Genomic DNA, 21,613 nt, shown 5'->3' with positions numbered 1-21,613 from the left:
GGAAGATTTGGAGCCATCTCACCAGGGTTCTGGTCTTGTCTCCAATACTTGTTAGTTCCAGAGCCTCAATTTCCTCATATTTCAAATAGGAAGAATAGTTGTCCTTCCTGCCCCACAGTGACACTGAAACAAGATAAGGAATGCTAGATTGGATTTTGTCTCTTTGTTTTTAGCTCTAAGTAACATTCATTCAACAGCCATTAATTGAGCACCTAATTTGTGCCAGGCAATGTGTTAGATACTGGAGACATAAAGATGAATCTCTCTAAGAGCTCAGCTCATAGTTTAAAAGGGGGTAAACAAGCCAACAAGTAAAATGCAAAGATAAGGAGTAGAAAGTGATCTGGGTGAAGATGGTGGGCTCTGGACAGTAGAGAGGGGCTTCTCACCCTCTCTTTCTGCTGAGGTTGGTAAAAAAGGGCATAGACTGTCAGAAGTCACCAAGGAAGACACTCAGGAGACAGGAATGTTTAAGCTTACTGTTTTTGTTGTTGTTGTTGTTGTTGCTGTTGTTGGACACGGAGTCCCACTCTGTCTCCCAGGCTGGAGTGCAATGGCGCAATCTCGGCTCACTGCAAGCTCCGCCTCCCAGGTTCACGCCATTCTCCTGCCTCAGCCTCCCAAGTAGCTGGGACTACAGGCGCCCGCCACCACACCTGGTTAATTTTTTTTTTGTATTTTTAGTAGAGACAGGGTTTCACCATGTTAACCAGGATGGTCTCAATCTCCTGACCTCGTGATCCGCCCGCCTTGGCCTCCCAAAGTGCTGGGATTACAGGCGTGAGCCAACACGCCCCGCCTAAGCTTACTTTATAAGGTGGGAGTTGGGCAGGTGAGGAAGTTAAGAGAAGAGTATTCCAGACAATGTAAACAACAGAGATATATCATTCATTTATGTACTCAACAAACATTAATTGAACACACTACAAGCAAAGAATTCTAGAGAAATACAGATAAACTAGATATAACCCCTGCTGAGGGGGCACACACTTCCCAGATGAGCAGGCAACCAGGTAAAGGCACTCGTAATCCTGGGTAACCTCATGATGCCCCATGTGTAGAAAATCTAAAAATTTCAGGCTACTTCTTATCAGTTCCAGGTAGGGTCATGTGGAGGGAGATATGGCTGGAGAGAGACAAGGGACAGAGCATGAGAGCAGTAGCAGTGGCAGGGACAGCGTCCCCTTCTTCTTATTCAGGAGACCTTAGGCTGCTTACTGAACCTCTTCAAAGCTCATTGTTTTTCTATCTTCAAAACAGAGAGAACAATCAAAACTACCTTAAAAAGTAGTTATTGGCCGGGCGCGGTGGCTCACGCCTGTAATCCCAGCACTTTGGGAGGCCGAGGCGGGCGGATCACGAGGTCAGGAGATCGAGACCATCCCGGCTAAAACGGTGAAACCCCGTCTCTACTAAAAATACAAAAAATTAGCCGGGCGTAGTGGCGGGCGCCTGTAGTCCCAGCTACTTGGGAGGCTGAGGCAGGAGAATGGCGTGAACCCGGGAGGCGGAGCTTGCAGTGAGCCGAGATCCCGCCACTGCACTCCAGCCTGGGCGACAGAGCGAGACTCCGTCTCAAAAAAAAAAAAAAAAAAAAAAAAAAAAGTAGTTATTATAAGGATAAAATGAAGTGATGGGTAAAAGCTCTTCAGTATAGTACCTGGACCAGTGTGCCCAAGAACTGTTAGCTGTCTTTGTCATCATCATTGACACCACATTATCCTTACTGTTGCTTTAACTAAGAGGAAAGTCATCTCAGGCAATGTGAATGACTTAGGGAAAAGGAATTAGAACAACTGCTCTGAAGCTCTCAACTTCCTGGAGTCCATGAGGAAGAAAAGACAGACCAGGACATATCTGATGCCACCCTTTGCCCTAGACCAGTGTTTCTCAAAGTGTTACACAGTAAGAACCCTAACCAGGAGAGTGAATGAATATTCCCAAGAAGCGCCTCCCCCGCCGTAGACTTTGACTTTTCAGTATTTTGTCTTAGAAATTCACTATCTTCTATAATCTGCTCATTTTCTGTCACCATCAGCACCACCATAGGAAACAACCCATACACATTTCTAGGCAATGTTATGACATCCTATGTGCATTAATTCATTTAATCCTCACAACAATCCTATGGAAGTAGGTACTAATGTCATTTCCATTTTACAGATAAGGAAACTGAAGCAAGAAACATTAGGTAACTTGTCCAAGATCACAACCTAATAAACGTTGTAAGTGGGATGTCAATCTAGGCAGTCTGGCTGCAGAATCTGTGCTCTATAACAGGTCACCTACCTCTCTCATTCCTATGGTGTTATTATCTCTCTAACATAAAAATGCTTCCCTCCCTAAGCCTCACACCAGCAATGATGTTCCATATAGATGTAACATGCTTATCCTGTGGCTTCTGGCACATGCCCACATATCCATACTCCATCTGAGGAGAATCGCCTAAGACCCAAGGGCTTCATTTAGGTTTGCTATAGTGCAATAGCATTGCTATCGACAGATGTCCATGGTACTTATGCAGCTAACAGGGCTCAAACAGATGATAAGTTGGCCACCACTGGGAGATGATTAAAAATCTACCATTAAACCAGCTGTACTTAGAGTAGACCTTTTTTAAAGTAGCTTTTCATCAGGGGATTATATTTTCTTCTTGATAATTTCCTTAACGGCAAGCAAGGCTGTATGTTAAAAGAAGAAAGAAGGCCCAAGTGCAAAGAGTAGAAGATTCTTACCAGATTGGGGGCTGAAAGGAGGGGAGAGGAGAGGAAAATTAAATGGGCAAAAGAGAAGATGCATCCCTCTTTTATTCCTGTATAATGCTCTGGTACTGCCTACCCACTCCCTCCTCTCTCTGCCTTCTTCTCCGGGGGCACTAACAGCAGCCCAGAATTCATTAAAGTTTAAACAGACTGATCAATAGGGACAGAATGGTGAATTGTCCATCTGCAAATTACCAAGCACCTCATGAATATTTAAGGAACTAAACTAGGAACAGGGAAAAGAAGGAATCCAGGACTTTATTTTTCCCCATGGAAAAAAAGACAAAAGGACCTCTGTCATTACTGATCACCAAGACATAAAATCAAACAGTCAAGTGAAACTTTAAAAACAAACAAGAATTGTGAAGCATTGCTTTCCTTCCCAAGCCAGCAGGCTGCATCCAATCCAAGGCCACTCAGGGTGAACATATGCCTGGCATATATGGGAGACACTCTAATCTGACTCCTTTGCTTTATCAGAACACACCATGTTTTCGTGCCACCATGCCTTTGCATATGCTATTCCCTCTGCCCAAAATGCAGTTCCTCTCATCCTCATTTGTCCACTTGGAAGGCAGCAGAGTCCAATGGTTAAGAGTGCACCTCGGAGGCAAAGGTATAGGAATGATACAATTGGACTTTGGGAACTCGGAGGAAAGCGCTGGGGGGTGGTGAGGAATAAAAGACTACACATTGGGTACAGTGTACACTGCTTGGGTGATGAGTGCACCAAAATCTCAGAAATCACCACTAAAGAACTTACGTAACCAAACACCACCTGTTCCCCAAAAACCCATTGAACTTTTTTTAATTAAAAAAAAAAAAAAAAAAGAGCGCACCTCTGGAGTCAGACTGCTTTGTTCTAGTCCTGCCTCTGCTACTTACTGTGTGAACTTGAGTAAGTTACCTAACTTTTCTGTGCCTACATTTCTCCCTCAATAAAATAGGGGTAGTGACAGTATTACCTTTATAGGGTCATGTGAAGATGCAACTACACAGTGCAAGTTAACACATTTTACACAGCCTTTGGCACACATTAAAGGCGTGGTAAATGTTAATAAGGTGATCAGTGAATTCTTCCACATGTGGTCACACCTCAAGCTGTCCTGTCTTCCCTGAGCCCCCTCCGGTTAGCTCTTTCCCCAGCTCCAGCTATAGTTACTTTGATCCCAGCTCTTACCATATATTAGCTGTTTATCAGTCTCTGCCAGTAGACTGTGAGCTCCTGAAGGGCAAGGCCTATGTCTTGCTTACCTCTGCATCTAAAGTTACCCCAACATTGTTTACGGCACCAGATTGACACACGACACTCAGCAGGTAGGAATATGAACAAGGAGAGAACACCAGTTTTGCCCATACCTTTGTGACAACACAGCACGCAGCCCAGATGTCCTCGGAGGACTGCTCATGGTGGTTGAACTGGGGCTCCCAATTCTTAATTGGCTGGTCTGCAAAAGCCAACAGGACCCCACTCTGGTCCACCAGAGCTGCACGGACACTGCCTGTTCCAACGTCCACACCCACATAGTACCTCTCTGGTTTCTGTTCTCCACCAGACATTGCAGTTCCTCCACCTATAGTAAGCAAGTGTAAAAACCATATGAAGACCAAGTGGATCTGCAAAGACAGTCACAAAACATCTCAAAAGTAGAAATAAAAGAGGTACCGCTACCTAACCGGTAGCCATTTGTTATTTATTCATCCAACAAACATTTTTAGTGATAACAGTATACTAATAAACATTGAGCTACATGGTGGGTGAACAGCACAGATATGGCCTCAGACATGGCATTTCCACTCTTGAGAGAGAGTCAGGATTTAAATACATAATTATTTAGGCAAAGTTGTGATGAGTGCTGTAAGGGCAAGTACAGGGTGGTAGGAGAACTTAGAATCTGGAGGCAATGGAGATGAGTTTCTTCTCAGTGAATTTCAATCAACAAGAACAGAAGCCAAGGTACTGAAAAGGAACCTTGTCCTCCTAGTCAGTCATTCATTCAACAATTACCTACTAAGTACCTCTTACACGCAAGCACTGTGAAAAGTGCTTATGTCCCCTTTACTCCTCACTATGACTCTAGAAGGTGAGGCTATTTACATCTCTGTTTTACAGGTGGTCAAGGTGAGATTCCAAGAGATAAGTAACTTTTTGCTTAATGCTAGCTAGGTCTACTCATAAATTCAAACAGTAAATGTACATTATTATAATGATACACACTACACTGATTAAGAAGCAAGTCTATGAGAAGTTAAGGAATTTAATCAGCTTCATTCAGGGGCAGCCTGGACCTAAAGTCCCATATTTGTGCAATCCCAAGTTTCATGCTCTTTCCTTTGTTTCTTAAAAGCTTTCTGTATAGGTTTGGAGAAGAGGCAAATATATTGCAGCTTTGTCATGAAGTGACTGGGAATTGGGAAGGAACCCCGAGGAGACAAGATCAGCAATTAGTTAGACAATCTGTTTTCCTTACAGACCCCTTGTGAGTTACAAGGAAATCTGACCAGAGAACATTCAGGAATTCCTTGGCCTTCATGGCTGCTCTAAGTCCCTTTGGTCAGATTAGCCCACATGACATGGAATCTCATAGAGGCTTTTATTTTCCAGATTGGCTTTGAAAGAATAAGAACAAGCCCCCAACACAACTGAGCAGGTGGATGCCCTACAACTCTCCAGGTGAGCTCAAGGCAGTTTTACCACCCAGAGTCTAATTTCAACCTGGGCAACCTTCTGCATCCTTCAACTTCAGAAAGAAAATGTTTCCCTAGCCAAGTCAAACATGGAGATTCTGAAAGAAAATCAACCAGCAGATGTTCAGTTACTGCTTCCTAGATATTTACTCCAGTAAAAAACAAATAAAACAATAAAAACTTCATTAAAAGTAATTGCTTCTGTCTTAATCACAATGATTTCCCAACAGAATTGTCCCCCTTTTGGCTCTGTGGCTCATGAGCAGGTGAAAAATAAAATGGAGAAGCTGCAGAAGTAACATTTGCTCCGTTCATAGGAGCTTCATCAGACCTCCACTGGTGTGTAACCTCAACTTCTCTCCCTTGCTTACATTCCCCTTGGGGACCTCCATATGACCATTAGCACCAGTTTTCAAATCATTCATTCCTTCATTCATTCAACAGTGATACCTTTTCTTCAAGCCATTATTTGAAGAAAACAAAACAGATAAAAACAGAGCTGCTCTGAAGCAAAGATCGCCCTTGCCCCACCCTCCAGCCCTTCCCCCCAGCAGTCCCTCTGCTAGGCCCTCTCTCAGGACAACTGAAAACCACCAGCTTTGAGCTGTGATATACCCCAGGGCCTCAGCACGGGATCTCACACCCTCCACAGGCTCCCTCTGCCTGCCATCCAGCCCCGCCTAATACAGTCCTGCTCATTCTCACTCCAGGCTACAGACATCCTCAAACTCCTCATAAGCTCTCAATTGCCCCCAGCTGCTAAAGGCTGCCCCAATCCTTTGCTCATCCCTTCCTAATTCTCTCCTTTCCTTGTCTGCCTGGTGACCACTGAATTATATTTTAAGACCCAGGTCAGCCATCAATTCTCCTTGGAAAAGGCTTCCTTCCCTTTCTCCCCTTGCATACATACAAAGGATGCCAACATGGTATCTTCTCCCTGCTTTCTTTTAAAACTTACCACTCTGGAATCACAATTTTATTTTTCTTTCCATGTCTGTCTTCCTAACTGAATCTGAAAAAAATGAACTTATTGATTTCTGTATCCCAAGCTCCTTGCACAGTGTCTGGCACATAATAGGTTTTCAGTAAATGTTTACTGAATGAACAACTGAATCAATGAATTAACAGAAACAAGGATGAACAGGTCCATGCCTGTTTTATTCATTTTACAACCACATTTTATTCATTCTACGGCACTCATTTTTCCATATTTAGCTTCTCTAAAACCAGTGAGAACCTTACAATCAATGGTATGTTACAATTAATTGGTATCATTTCCTTTCTTACTTCATGGTAATAATAAATAATGGTGCATCTTGCAATCAGTGACATCTGAGACTCAGAAGAAATGCAGAAGACAGTAACACCAGGAAGCCTGCTGAGGATACACTGATTGACAAAATAGGGGCAATGCCTTCGCTGAGTTTCCTCAATTTTATTAGCTGCAAACAGGAAGAAGATTGAAGCTAGCCACTCTACCTTCCCTCTACCAACCTCTCACAGCTGCTTACTTTACTTGGAATCCCCTCTCTGGGCTTCCCACTGTCTCTACTGCAAAGGCCCCCGGGGTGCTGCTCCTTAACACTGATCCTAGCATGCTAACAACTCTTTGCCCTTGGCAAGACTTTTGCAAGACTACTATAAACGCTTAGGAAGAAACAAAGAAATAAATAGGAAATGAAAAATCTATTCAATACCCTGGCTTACACAGACCTGGCCAGCCAGCATCCAGACTTGTCTCTACTCCAGCCAGCCCCGATGACAAGACAGATTCCCCATGGGGCTGGCCCACGTGCTCAGGCTTGGGTTCCTCACTTTTGACTCCCTCTCTGATGAAGAGAGTAATATGATAAAATACATCATCTTACCACCCTACCCACATTCTGATTCCTTTCCAGTAAAACCCAAAGAGGCAGATTTCCACTCTACAGTTAGCCCTGGGCTTGCTCCAGTTCTGGTTTCTGGCAGGAGCCCACCCTTCACATGGAGAATGGAGCGGTATGATTACAGTTAATTCCAGCTGCCGCCTGTGTCACAGCTGTAAGCCCAGTGCCTGGCATACAGCAGGAGCTCAGTAAGTCCTTGTAACTCAGTGAATGGATGTCTTTAAAATTCATCACTGGGGAAATAAAAAAAGGTACCATGTTTACCACATATCTGATATTCTGCTAAGCAGCTTGATTACAATGCCTGACCACAATTCTTGAAGACAATAACTATGATCACTCCCATTTTACTGATGAGGAAAATAAGTCCTAGATAGGTAAAGTAACTTGCTCCAGTATGCCATATTACTAGGCAGTAATACAATTGACAGTAATCCATTCCCTCCGGTTCCATCAGCCCTAACCTTTCTCAGGATGCTCCACTGCCTCCTGCTATTCCTCTATTTACTAAATGCCCATTTGTCAAGGACTCTGCTGGGGGCCTCTGCCTGCTGTGCCTAAGGTTGGCTGACTCAGAACCCAGGCTGTTCATCTTCAGAGACTGACCCTTCCACAACACCAGGTGGCCTGCTTCTAGCAAAATATGGATTTCTATAACTTATTACCAGGGCACCATGCAGCAAAGAGTCAAACCATCCCAGCGTCATTCACACACATCACCCAGTTCATGTTTTTCTATGAAATAGATCCTACTTGCATATTTCAGGTTCACCACTTTTCCCATTATTATAGTTTTAACTGATCTCTGTGATTATTTCCATACCTGGAACCTGAAAGCAGGGATGTTCAAGCCCTTGGGCAGCTTCCCTGAAATTCGACCTGTGAGCTCCAGCAAAGGACTTTCTGCATCATAGGTCCCCTGCTCTTCCCCCTCTATGCCCTTTGTTCCTGGGTCATGAATATGATCTGCTGCGTCCTAGACTCCTAATCTTATGCAACCAGTACCCCTTGGCCTCAAAAAGTAAAGTAACTGTAAAGTGGAAAGCATTATTCCTTTTTCTAGTTTGTAAAGTAAACAAGGATAAGGATCATCATCGTGTCACTTATTCCCACACAATGTTAATCTCATTCACAGAAACCCAATCAGTTTGGTAAACCTATCACCACTTTATTATACCTCAGAAGGGTGGAGTAATTTGCCCAAAGTGCCACAAACAGCAAATGGCATCAGGATTTGAACCACAGTCTCTTGCGGCAAGTTTAGGGCTCCTTCCACAACATCCAGCTAAAACTGAAAGCCAAACCCTTTGATTACTTCTTCAATAAGAACAACAAATGCAGCAAGAAATATCTATTGAGCTCTGAGCTGCAGATCACCATGTGACTCCATGATTTCATTTAATCCTTATAGCAACCCTGTGAGGTAGGCAGTATGAGCCCCATTTCCCAGCTAAGGAAAGTGAGGTTCTCAGACAGGAAGCTGTTTAAAGTTGCATGGTACAGAAGCACAGGGGCTGGGGTTTGAGGCTAAGTCAGTGTGACTCCAAAGACCGCATTATGAATGGTGAGAGTCGGAACTGGGGTTTCATTTCATTCTTCTTAGGCAAAGATAAATACTCTAAAAAGAAAACAGCTGTTAGGGATATGGGGAGGGTGGTCAGGCGGAAAGAAATGAGGGCACGGACTGTGGACGGCCAAGAGAAAGAAAAATAACAGAAATTCAAGCTGTGCTGCGTACAAGTCCTGGGACATACCTAACTTCTCAGTCTACAAGACATTTCAAAGCACAGAAACAGCCTCCTGTCCAAGTCCTCAGCATGGACTGGACTGACTTTTAGCCCCTATTTATGATCAAAAGACTGTTCTGTATAAATATTTATACAGTTCATTAAATAATAGCCTGTATAAATATTGTTAGAAATGTGCCACAGGAAACCACAGACTTTGTGGCTGATTCTTCAACAAATGTGCAAACTGCTCAAATGCAGTGTGAAAAAAGGAAAAGGGGACCTGGAAATAGAGGGCTGTCCTTTGCAAACGGGTTTTAGCAATCCTAAGAAGGGGGTACAAGCTACAAATACTGAGCTAAAAACCGATAATGTGGGGATTGTTCTTTTATACTTTTCCCCTTCTTTCCCTCTGAAGCATCTCAGAGCATTAAGATTGCTGCCTATGATGACAATCTCCCAGAAGCGGATGAGCTTACCCTATTTCTTAAGGCGCCACTCCTCCAGGATTTATTTGGTGACAGTGCACAGAAGCAGTGTCCCAGAAATCTGGGAAGGAATTCAGTATCCTCTTTCAACTTTGATCTTTGGACTTTGCTGGGAGTTGATGTACACAAGTCCTGTGCAATTTATTTAGTTAGTTATACTGCAATCAGGGATTTGCTAAGATTGGGAAGAAAAAAGATGAACAATGAGTTAAGCTTGCCCACCTCAGTCTTAATAGAAATGACTGAATACCACTTTCAACAATTTTTACATGCTCTAAGATGGTGGAAAAATTTGAAATGAGAAGGAAAGAGCTGATTTGGCAATAATAGTTGTTTCTCTATGGGCTCTACCAACAATAAATAGGAAGAAAAGACCAGCTTGCTAACCAAAACTTTACCTCTAAACATGAAAATTTCTTAAGGCCTCCTCTTCAGTTCTTTTTCGCCTTTCCCTCCAAGGGGAGACAGTTCTAAAAGTTTTAAGGTTGCCAAGACTGGCTCAAAAGAAACCCAAACACTTCCATGGTTCCCCAAACTTTTAGAGTCTGTAGCAATGGCACAACACATTTTTCATCTAGACATACCTGTGGCTTGGCGTAGTCTGTAAAAACGCGTATAAGCATATTTTCAGTCAAGTGCTCATTTTGTGGCATCCAAAGGAAGGAAGGGAGTAAGCAGGGAATCCATTCCCTGAATACTGAGAAGTGGAACCAGGCCCTTATCTAGCTCCTGGAAGAGCAGAACAATCTTTTATGCATCACTGATGTCTAACACTAATGCCTAACAAAGGACCTGGCTTGTTGCAGATCAAGAAAAATTCAAAAGAATCTGAGGAAAAGGAAAAGAGGGGGAAAGGAAAGGGAAGTGTGGTGGGGAGAGGGAAAAAAGGGAAATGGGGGAAAGAAGTGGGGGAAGGAGAGGAGAAAAGAGAAGGGAGGATGGGCAAGGAGGAAACTGAACTGGCAGTTAAGTGGAAGCCTGAGTGATTCACAGATAAGAAACTAAGAAATCCTTTGATTGATGGGAGGAGGGGAGAAGGAAAAAAAAAAGCAGACATATACCTTGGCTAACAAATGACATCCACTAAATTCTTCCTGCCCCAGAAAAGTCTATTAACATAATGCAGAGAAGGAACAGATTATGAAAATGTCAGTTCTCAGAAACCCAGAGGTAAATCCAAAGAAACAAAACACAAACCAACAAAACCCTTTCTCTACTCTGAGGGTCAGCCACTCACACCTGGAATGTTTCCTGTCACCAACTGGAGAGACCTCAAGAGCCCCAGTACCAAGAAGTTCACCTGTGGAACCCATGACACATAGGTTCCTGGAGCCAGCTGGCTAACAGGCTCTGAAGATCCCAGACACCATAGAACATGAGAAAACAACATCACACACATAGTCTCTGAGCCCAGAAGTTCTCAAAAGAAGCTCCAAGACGGAGTGCAGAAGTCATCCTGCTAAGCAATGCAGGACTGTGTCTTGACAACTGAAGACATAAGCTGCGTCTATCTTATCCACCTCTGTATCCCCAGTGCATACACACACAAATAAATTTGGTATGCAGTAGGTACTCAATAAGGAGCTGAAGAATGGACTAACAAATAGTCACTGCATTTGGGAGAAATGAAGACAATTCTTCTCCACAACACTAAAAAATAAATCAATATCAGGGTCACCATATTCTATTCAGAATAGGAAACCAGATGCTTGTCCCATCTGTGTCTACCACTGACTCACTTGGGGTAAGTCTCTTCACTGATGTCTCTCTTCACAGGTATGAGACTCATGAATTCTATACAACTACTCCAAGGGATTGTTGTGAAGATTAAAGGAAATAATGAGCACAGAGAGCCCTTTAAAAGGGCAATTCCTTTATAACCAGAAAGAATCAATGGCACTGGGAGGCACAGAAGGAAAATTTGGGTGTAACAGTATAGCATCACCAAAGACACTCTACAGCCTTCTTACTCAAAGTGTGGGCCTCAAATCAACCTTCACCTCCAACACTGAATCACCTCTTGAAACCCACATCTTTTAAAAAAATTTTTTTATTAGGCCAGGTGCGGTGGCTCACGCCTGTAATCCCAGCACTTTGGGAGGCCAAGACGGGCGGATCACAAGGTCAGGAGATCGAGACCATCCTGGCTAACACGGTGAAACCCCGTCTCTACTAAAAATACAAAAAATTAGCCGAGTGTGGTGGCAGGCACCGATAGTCCCAGCTACTCGGGAGGCTGAGACAGGAGAATGGCGTGAACCTGGGAGGCAGAGCTTGCAGTGAGCGAGATTGCGCTACCGCACTCTAGCCTGGGCAACACAACAAAGCGAGATTCTGTCTCAAAAAAAAAAAGAAAAAAAAAATTTCCGTAGGTTTTTGGGGAACAGGTGGTGTTCGGTTACATGAGTAAGTTCTTGAGTGGTGATATGTGAGATCTGGATATACCCATCACCCAAGCAGTATACAATGAACTTTGTTTGCAGTCTTATATCCCTCACTCCCTTCCCGCTCTTTCCCACTGAGTCCCCAATGTCCATTGTGTCATTCTTATGCCTTTGCATCCTCATAGCTTAGCTCCCACTTATGAGTGAGAACATACAATGTTTGGTTTTCCATTCCTGAGTTACTTCACTTAGAATAATAGTCTCCAGTCCCATCCAGGTTGCTGAGAATGCCATTAATTCATTCCTTTTTATGGCTGAGTAGTATTCCATCATGTGTGTGTGTGTGTGCGTGCGTGTGTGTGTGTGTGATACATATATCACAGTTTCTTTACCCACTTATTGATTGATGGGCATTTAGGTTGTTTTCACATTTTTGCAATTGCTGACACCCACATCTTTTAATATGTGTTATCTATACCTAGGCATTCTCGCCATATCTAACAGCTTGATTTCCAGTAAACAAACAAATATTAAGTGCTTTCACTATGCCAGGATGCTAGGAATAAGGGGCTGAAAAATACATTATCTCTAATTTTAACAAACTGACAGTCTAATGTTATGGTCTGAATGCTTGTGTCCTCCAAAAATGTATGTGTTGAAACCTAACCCCTAAGGTGATGGTATTAAAAAGTGGGACCTTTGGGAGATGATGAGGTCATGAAAAAGGAGTCCTCATGAACGGGATTAGTATCCTCATAAAAGAGGCCCAAGGAAGACTCTTGCCCCTTCTACCATGTGAGGACACAGCAACAAGTCAGCAGTTAATGGAGGTACCAGTTTACTGCTCTCATTACTGTTCCAACAGTTCTGACCAACTAGGTCAGAAACTCAGTATTTTTCAGGGTTTTGGGGATCCTTATGCTCTTTACTGAGCCCATTTGTAAAGACTAACAGATGATTGGAAGAGGGACATGGTATTAAATCAGAAAGACAGTAGAAAAGTTGGCTATCCTTTTAAATTTAAAGTTGGATTCCAAAAGGCAGAAAAGACAGAACCTACCAAATCCCCATGTGTGCCTCACAATGTGGCAGCCACAAGAATCCAAACTGAGCCAGTTTTGGATGGTGAACCATCTTGAATGGTGGCCAAAAACCATAACCTTCCAAGAGCCACACAGGTAATGTCCAACAGCAGTCACAAGGGAAACATAAAACCCAAACTTGGCTGAAGCCAAATGCACAGAACAGGTCCTAAAGATATCATGGATGAAAAAATCTGACTCATCAAATGACATCCCCAAACTCCACCAACAAACATCCCCTTAAAGAAATTAAACTTCAGATCTCCCATACCATCTTCCATAAAACCCTGCTTACACCCTCCCAAGGGTTCTGTTCAACCCTTGTGTTCCAATAAAGCACATTTACTTGTTTATAATGCCTTCTTCTGTTGACCTACCAAGCCATTCCCTTTACAGAGAAAAGGAGAGGAGAATCCACATTTATAACACCTACCAAAGTATATGTTGTTTCTCCCATCTACATGAGGAAACTGAAATGTTGAAAGAGTCAATATCCTGTTGATAGTCACAAAGCCCTTAGAGGGACAAAGCCATATTAAAGTTCAGGTTTGCCAGAAGCAATTGCAAAAAAATGCCAAAATTGACAGATGGGAACTAATTAAACTAAAGAGTTTCTGCAGAGCAAAAGAAACTATCAGCAGAGTGAACAGGCAACTTACAGAACGGGAGAAAATTTTTGCAATCTACCCATCTGACAAAGAACTAATATCCAGAATTTACAAGGAACTTAAACAAATTTGCAAGACAAAAAGAAACAACCCCATCAAAAAGTGGGCAAAGGATATAAGCAGACACTTCTCAAAAGAAGACCATTTACGCAGCCAACAAATATATTTTAAAAAGCTCAACATCACTGATCATTAGAGAAATGCAAATCAAAACCAAAACGAGATACTATCTCATGCCAGTCAGAATGGCGATTATTAAAAAGTCAAGAAACAATAGATGCTGGCAAGGCTATGTAGAAACAGGAATGCTTTTACACTGTTAGTGGGAATGCAAATTAGTTCAACCATTGTGGAAGAGTAGAAGGCAGTATGGCGATTCCTCAAGGATCTAGAACCAGAAATACCACTTGACCCAGCAATCCCATTACTGGGTATATACCCAAAGGAATATAAATCACTCTACTGTAAAGACACATGCACACATATGTTTATTGCAGCACTGTTTACAATAGCAAAGTCATAGAACCAACCCAAATACTTATCAATGATAGACTGGATAAAGAAAATGTGGTACATATATACCATAGAATACTACACAGCCATAAAAAGGAATGAGATCATGTCCTTCACAGGGATATGAATGAAGCTGGAAGCCAACAACCTCAGCAAACTAACACAGGAACAGAAAACCAAACACCGCATGTTCTCACTCATAAGTGGGAGCTGAACAATGAGATCACATGGACACAGGGAAGGGAACAACACACACTAGGGCCTGTTGTGGGGTGGGGGGACGAGGGGAGGGAACTTAGAGGACCAGTCAATAGGTGCAGTAAATCACCATGGCACACGTATACCTATGTAACAAACCTGCAGGTTCTACACATGTATCCTGGAACTTACAGTAAAATATTGAAAAAAAAGAATCTTTAAAAAAAAAAAAAATTTCAGGTTTGTTATCAGCCAGAGCTGAACTCTTTCTACCATCCCTGAAATGACTTGGCTTTCCACACTAACCAAGCTGCCTGTGTCCTGGGCACACAGAGAATGAAGTTTCAAATCTGTTAATCCTGTGAAGCCTTTTCAGATGATCATTAGAAATGCCTTCTCCATGATCCAGTTAATACAGACTACCTGATGTCACGATAAATCCTACTGTGGGAAACATTAGATATTAACTGAAAATGCTCTGCTCCCTACCTTCCTTGTATGAGCACAATGTATTGTAATGTAGTAATAAGGGGAATTACTGGGTTGTGAAGGAGGAGAGGATTATTAATATATAAAATAGTCAAATATCTCTTAAAATAAAAAGACCCTAAAAAACTTTCTTCCTCTGCAGAGTTCTAGCAGCATTATGAGCAAGCCTTCTATGTGGCTTGTGGCTGAAGCACCATGCTCCTCTTTGGAGCAGTCTCCCTCCCAAGCAGGGGGCTCCATTTAAATAGGAACACACACTGAGGAGAGAAGGACGATGGAGAAAGGGTCCACCCGACAAGTGAATCAACAGAGTCAGTCCATCTTCTACAAACCCAACGGACACCCTGAGTTCTCTAAATGCAGACATTTAAATGTGATAGTTTCTTACTCCTGTGCCAGGACCCTGGAGACAGAAAGGGAGATAGTCGGGGGACAGGGGGAGTCATTTCCTAATTCTAAATGCAGGGTTATTTCATTTTAATCCCTAATATGCCAATTACAAAACTAGGCCCATAATGGGGAAAAGATATGCAAATTTAATGATTTGTTCTTACATAGACTCCTCCTTTTGAAATGTGAATTCCTGACCTCTCTTTGAGTTCTGAATAATTTAAACATATACACAGTTTCTCCCCTCACTGCTTTCTTCTTCAAGAGGTTGCTGTTGATTTGCTGACATAATTAACTATGAAATGATTTTCTACAGAACAAGACCTTCAAAGCAATGCTATTATCATCAGCATATTGGCCGAAATCCACAGTTTTTCCCAGAAAGTCACTCAAATTAAAACAACGAAAGAACTCACCAACCTTACTGACTGCTGTAAGATCTCGGCAAATTCAGGAGGAGCTGAGGACAATATCAGATAAAGCAACAAAATCCATTCTCCATGCGATCATGCAAAATTTCCCCCCTCAGAGACAATGCCAAGTCACAGATGGGTTGAAGTCTTTGGCCCATTCTTATGTTTACCAGTTTATGAAGCCTGGTCTGGTAGCTTTTTTTTTTTTTTTTCCTCACTCTGTCACCCATGCTGGAGTGCAGTAGTGCAATCTCCACTCACCGCAGCCTCTGCCTCTTGGGTTTCAAGCAATTCTCTTGCCTCAGACTCCCAAGTAGCTGGGATTAGAGGCACACACCACCACACCCAGCTAATTTGTTTTTGTATTTTTAGTAGAGACAGGGTTTTGCCATGTTGCTCAGAATGGTCTCGAATTCCTGGCCTTAAGTGATCTGCCCACCTTGGCCTCCCAAAGTGCTGGGATTACAGGCAAGAGCCACCACGCTTGGCCCTGGTCTGGTAGCTTTAAGGCCGAAGGTGAAAGGACTAAAGAATGAATTATTTGAAGATTAAACATTAGACTTGACCATTCCACAAACATGGCTCTGTCAAAAGTACCACGAACCAAAGTACAAGCTTAAACAGCACCAATGCTTCTTCTGCCCAAAATAAAGCCCAATATCTTTATTTGACCCAAAAGGACCTCTAAGCTCAGGCCCCTGCCTGACTTTCTAACCTTAGCTCCCTGCCTCTCTCCCTAACCTCAACCTTCGTACTTCAATGCTACAAAACTACTAGAAACTATTCAAAGGAAGGCTTGGTGCTTTTGTTCATACTGTTCCCTCTACCTGTAATGCAAAGAATACAAACTTATAGTTCATAGAAAAATAAATACATAGGAATCTTTCAACTGACAAATAGTGTAGGAATATAAATCAAAACAACACTAAGATATAATTTTACACCTAACAAACAGGAACTGGAAAATTTTGATAATACCCACTTGGCAAAAGTGTGGGAAACAGGCTGTTTCATACACTTTTCATAGAAAAGTGATTCTATCTTTGATAGAATAATTTAGTACTATCTATCCATTTTTAAAATCAAGTCTTTTACCCAACAGTTTAACTTCTAAGAATTTATCTTCTAAGAATTTATGCACTGACTCATCAAAAAGATACAAAAAAAATCCACCACAACCTTTTTTTGTAAAGGCAAGAACATATCCACAAACACTCTAGAAGCAAATTAAATGATTATTAATAGGGGACTTCTAAAATTGATACATCAGTAGCTGTTGAATGAGAAAAAAAGAAAGCTGCTAATTATATATTATTAACTAAAAAAGCAAGTTCTTGGATGATACAGTATGATGCCATTTGTATTATTTTTTAATAAAGAATAGAGCAAAAGCTCTATTTTCTTCATGCAATACAGTGGTTCTCAAACTTTTATTTTCTCAAATTTTAACAGGGCCATTCGTGGTCTCTAGAAGAGCAGCAGCATTAGTATCACCAGGGAACTTGGTAGAAATTCAAAGTCAGGCCCCCTTCCAGCTCCAGTGACTCAGAAACACTGGGGTGGGGTTCAGCAGTCTGTGCTTTAAAAAGGCCTCCAGGTGATTCCGATGGATGCTAGAGTTTGAGAACCACTGTATTGTATAAAGACCTATCATAAAAGATTTCAGGAAACACACACAAAACCTGCTTACTGCAATGACATCCAGCAAAAAGAAATATAGTGGAGGTTTGGAGGCCATTTACCTGTCCCTCTCTGTGCTGTCTGAATGTTCTCAATGAGCAGCTATTACAGTAATAGGAAGGAAGACCTTCTCTGTATTGAGTTGAACTGTGCTTAGTATAGCTCCTACCCTCTAGTCCTAATTTTTATCCCAAAGGATCATCCAAACAGCCTTTTTTACCCTTATACATGGGCTACCCTTTCAAATGTTTTAAGATGACTCTCATGACCTCCTGTTGGGTCTTCTTTTCTCCATGCTATACATTTTAAGTTCCTGTAATTTTCCTCCATGACATGGTTTTCTAAAATAAAAAGAGAAGCAGCAGCATTAAGAGGCACTGACCATACTTAACTAGAATGATCTTCAGTCACCCATGTTTCTACATGACACTGCATGGAGATGAGGTAAGCTGGGCTAGCTGCACACGGTAAGCACACAGGAAGTCTTCCTTTTCCCTCTCCCTTCCTGGAGACCCCCTGGATGCAACACATGCTGGGACACATCACTGGCCCATCCAGCCCAGCATCCAATCTCTGACAAGGATAAGTTGTTCTTGATAGGAACAAACTATCTATAGTTTGTTCTAACTAACATAAAAAATAATCTGCTTTTTAAGGGAGAAGGGAAAGGGAGCTGGGGCTTCTTCACAAACTGTCTTTGAGGGGAATTTTGAGGTAATCCTTGTCAAATACACTATTCTTCCCTTAAGGGTTCACTAGAATTAGTGTTATCTGTGTTTTATCAATATGTAGCTTCACATGAATCCAAATGCTTTTTAGACTTACTTATATTTTGAGCCAACCCTCATCTTACATCAATAAATTTCTTATGAACATTTACTCTGTGCAAGATGTGGTGCCAGTGACTTACCAGATGGCCTTGCTAATCTTTTCTGCAACTTTTAGATGGGAAACCAAGGTTCTGAGCAGTTAGGTCACCTGTCAGGGTCATAGAGTCAGTGAATAACAGAGAAGGATTTCAATCCTATGTTCTTTCTACTATGTCACATGACAATTTTTTAAAGATCCTAACAATAGCCTTATTCAAATGTCAAAGCTGCCACATAATTCTACAATCCCAATATTTGGTTAACTAGATTGAGTTTGATCTGTCTAAATCACTCGATTTTTTTTTTTTTTTTTTTTTTTTTGAGACAGGGTCTCACTCTATCACCCAGGCTGGAGTGTAGTGATGCAATTATAGCTCATTGTGGCCTCGACCTCCTGGGCTCAAGCCATTCTCCCATAACAGCCTCACGAGTAGCTGGGACTACAGGCATGCACCATCATGACACAATAATTTTAGATTTTTTATAGAGATGGTGTTTTGCCATGTTGGCCAGGCTGGTCTCGAATTCCTGGGCTCAAGCTATCCTCCCACCTCGGCCTCCCAAAGTTCTGAGATTACAGACATGAGCCACCGTGCTTGGCCTCATTCTTCATTTTATAGACTTTGTCTTCTTCTCAATTTTCATCTTGCAATATCCAGTCAGCAACCGAGTCCTTTCTTAATCTCTCTCCCATAGCCTGTTTAGCAGAATCCAAGCTATTCAGCTCTCAGCATAATCTGCAATGGATTTCAGTGTAGCTCAGCCCCAAATCTAGATGGTTAAGGGACTGGTAATATATTTAGCCTGAACAATTTTTATTTGATTTTCCTATCCTTCCTAAGTGCACTCTATACATATGTCACTGTATATTCTTCCCCAACTACATATCCATTCTCTACCTTCCCTCCCTGCTATCTGTCCTGGGGACAATAATCTGGATCTCCAAGACTCTCTAATCCTCTGTCTTCTAGTTGGGTTTGAGCAATGGAGAGCTCTAGCTGAAGCCTCAAAGGAAGGAGAAGAGTAAGGTCAGGCCTCTTTTCCTGTAGAGTTGGCCTGGGCCAGCTGCTTCTCTTGGGCTAAAATAACAGATCCTCTCCAGGCAGGCTTCTCCACACGATTTCTCCTTTTGGGTTCTGGTAACCAGTCCTTCCCTCACCCCTTTGGGTCTAAGGATGTAACAGTCTTACTGTTACTAGACCCAGGCATTCAGGCTGCCCTCACTTACTCAATAGTTCTTTTATTGAAAATTATCCTAATTTAGTTATAGCTTATGTTTTTCCCTCTGATATACTTCCTTCACCATGCTCTTAGCACCTTGAAGTGGTAAAAGTTCCCCTTTATTATTGGTATCTGAGTACCTCAAAAATCCCCTCCTCACATCTTTAGATAGTCCCTTATTTATATTTTCCTCAAAAATTCTAGTTGAATGCTTCCAATTCCAGCCAAGATGTAGTGACAGGAACCATATTTACCTCCCTGCTTAAAACAATGGGGAAAAAAATAGAAAACAAAGATTCTCATGACATTGGACATCAGGCAACAGAGTAATCACACAGAGATGGGAAAAAATGAGATAAGTCCTTCAATGGCTCAAGTTTAATCCCTGGGATATGTCTGCAGATTGTGGCACAAAAAGGATGAACACAGGCCAAGCCCAGCAGTCTCCCTGAGTTGAGGAGACAGAGCTGAAAGTCTGTGGAGAACAAAAAGGCTAGAATCTTGGGCAAGAGAGGAGAGAGCTGCACAGAAGAAGAATGCCAGAGAATTGCAAAGGTACTCCCCAAGTATTCAGGAGAGTACTAATCATCCGTACTAATGCATCTATATGTGAAAACAATCTGAGGCAGAAGCACCAAAAAGGATTAGAGAGAACAAATCAGTGGGCTTCACATAAGGCCAGGAATAGTTCTATTCATAACAGCCAGAGTAGAAAGCCTCATAACTCAGAGGGAATTGGGTAGAGTATAAATTCTACCAAGCATTTAAACAATTAATAAAATTCTTCTTGAACTCTTATAAAAAATTAAAGAGGAAGGAATACTTCCACACTCATTTTATGAGGCCAGCATTACCATTACCCTTAAACTAAAGCTAGACAAGGACATTATGAGAAAAGATAATTACAGGCCAATATCCACAATGAACACAGATGCAAAAATCCCCAATAAAATACTAGCAAACCAAATTCAACAGCACATTAAGAAGATCATTCACCATGATCAAGTAAGTAACTATCCTTGTAATGCAAGGATGGTTCAACATATGCAAATCAATAAATGTGATACACTACATTCACAGAACAAAGGATAAAAATACTATCATCTCAATAGATTCTGCAAAAGCATTTGACAAAATTCAACATACTTTCACAATAAAAACTATCACAAATTAGATATAGAAGGAATCCACCTCAACATTATACAGACTATATATGACAAGCCCAAAGCCAATATGATACTCAACATCAAAAAGCCGAAAGCTTTTCCTTTAAGATCAGGAACAAGAGAGAATGCCCACTCTTACCACTACTATTCAGCACAGTATTGGAAGTCCTAGCTAGAGCAATTACAAAAGAAAACTAAATGAAAGGCATCCAGATTGGAAAGGAAGGGATAACATTGTCTGTTTACAGATGACATGATATTATATATAGAAAACCACCCAAAGACTCCAAAAAACTGTTAGAACTAATAAATTAAATCAATAAAGCTGTAGAATAAAAAATCAACATAACAAAAAGCAGCCGCATTTCTATTCACTAACAATGAACTACCCCAAAAAGAAATTAACAATCTCACTTAGAAGGGCATCAAAAAGGAAAAAGTACTTAGGAAAAAATTTACCAAGGAGGTGAAAGATTTGTATATTGAAAACTATAAACCTATGATGAAAGAAACTGAAGAAGACACAAATAAATGGAAACATATCCATGTTCACAGACTGGTAGAAATAATATTGCTAAAATAACCATACTACTCAAAGTGATCTGCAGATTCAAAGTAATTTCTATCAAAATACCAATGGCATTTAAAAAAAAAATAGAGAAAAACAATCCTAAAATTCATATGGAACCACAAAAAACTCCAAATAGCTAAAGCAATCTTGGGAAAGAACAAAGCTGGAGACATCACACTTCCCAATTTCAAATTATATTACAAAGCTATAATAATCATAACAATATGGTGCTGGAATAAAAAGAGACATATACACTAATGGAACCAATAGAAAACCCAGAAATAAACTACTCATATACAATCAACTACCCTTTGACAAAAGCAACAAAAACACAATGGGGAAAAGGAAGTCTCTTGAATAAATGGTGTTGGAAAAACTGGATAGTCACATGCGAAAGAATGAAATTGAACCCTTATAC

At 41.5% G+C, this 21,613-nt stretch overlaps 1 protein-coding gene across 48 annotated transcripts in view; it reads right to left on the bottom strand.

The window, feature by feature from the left end:
* FGGY (FGGY carbohydrate kinase domain containing) overlaps window positions 1-21,613 on the bottom strand; it is a 466,353-nt gene that overhangs the window by 436,859 nt on the left and 7,881 nt on the right. For 13 of the 48 annotated variants that reach the window (XR_007061929.1, XM_011541731.2, XM_011541730.2 and 10 more), the window contains exon 2: window positions 4,122-4,336. The exons of 6 other annotated variants lie outside the window; for them this stretch is intronic. Coding sequence is in view for 29 of the 42 variants with exons in the window: in XM_011541731.2 (XP_011540033.1) it covers window positions 4,122-4,322 (201 nt within the window). In the remaining 13 variants the exon portion in view is untranslated. Of the gene's footprint in view, window positions 1-22; window positions 124-4,121; window positions 4,337-7,163; window positions 8,134-9,542; window positions 9,727-10,135; window positions 10,281-15,691; window positions 15,841-15,949; window positions 15,971-16,127; window positions 16,719-21,613 lie in introns of those variants that run through there. 29 more of the 48 variants (XR_007061930.1, XM_017001646.2, XM_011541736.4 and 26 more) reach the window with 17 other exon arrangements.

Source organism: Homo sapiens, chromosome 1, assembly GCF_000001405.40.
Source record: "Homo sapiens chromosome 1, GRCh38.p14 Primary Assembly".
NCBI classification, from domain to species: domain Eukaryota; kingdom Metazoa; phylum Chordata; class Mammalia; order Primates; family Hominidae; genus Homo; species Homo sapiens.
This window is presented reverse-complemented; position numbering and strand designations above follow the sequence as displayed.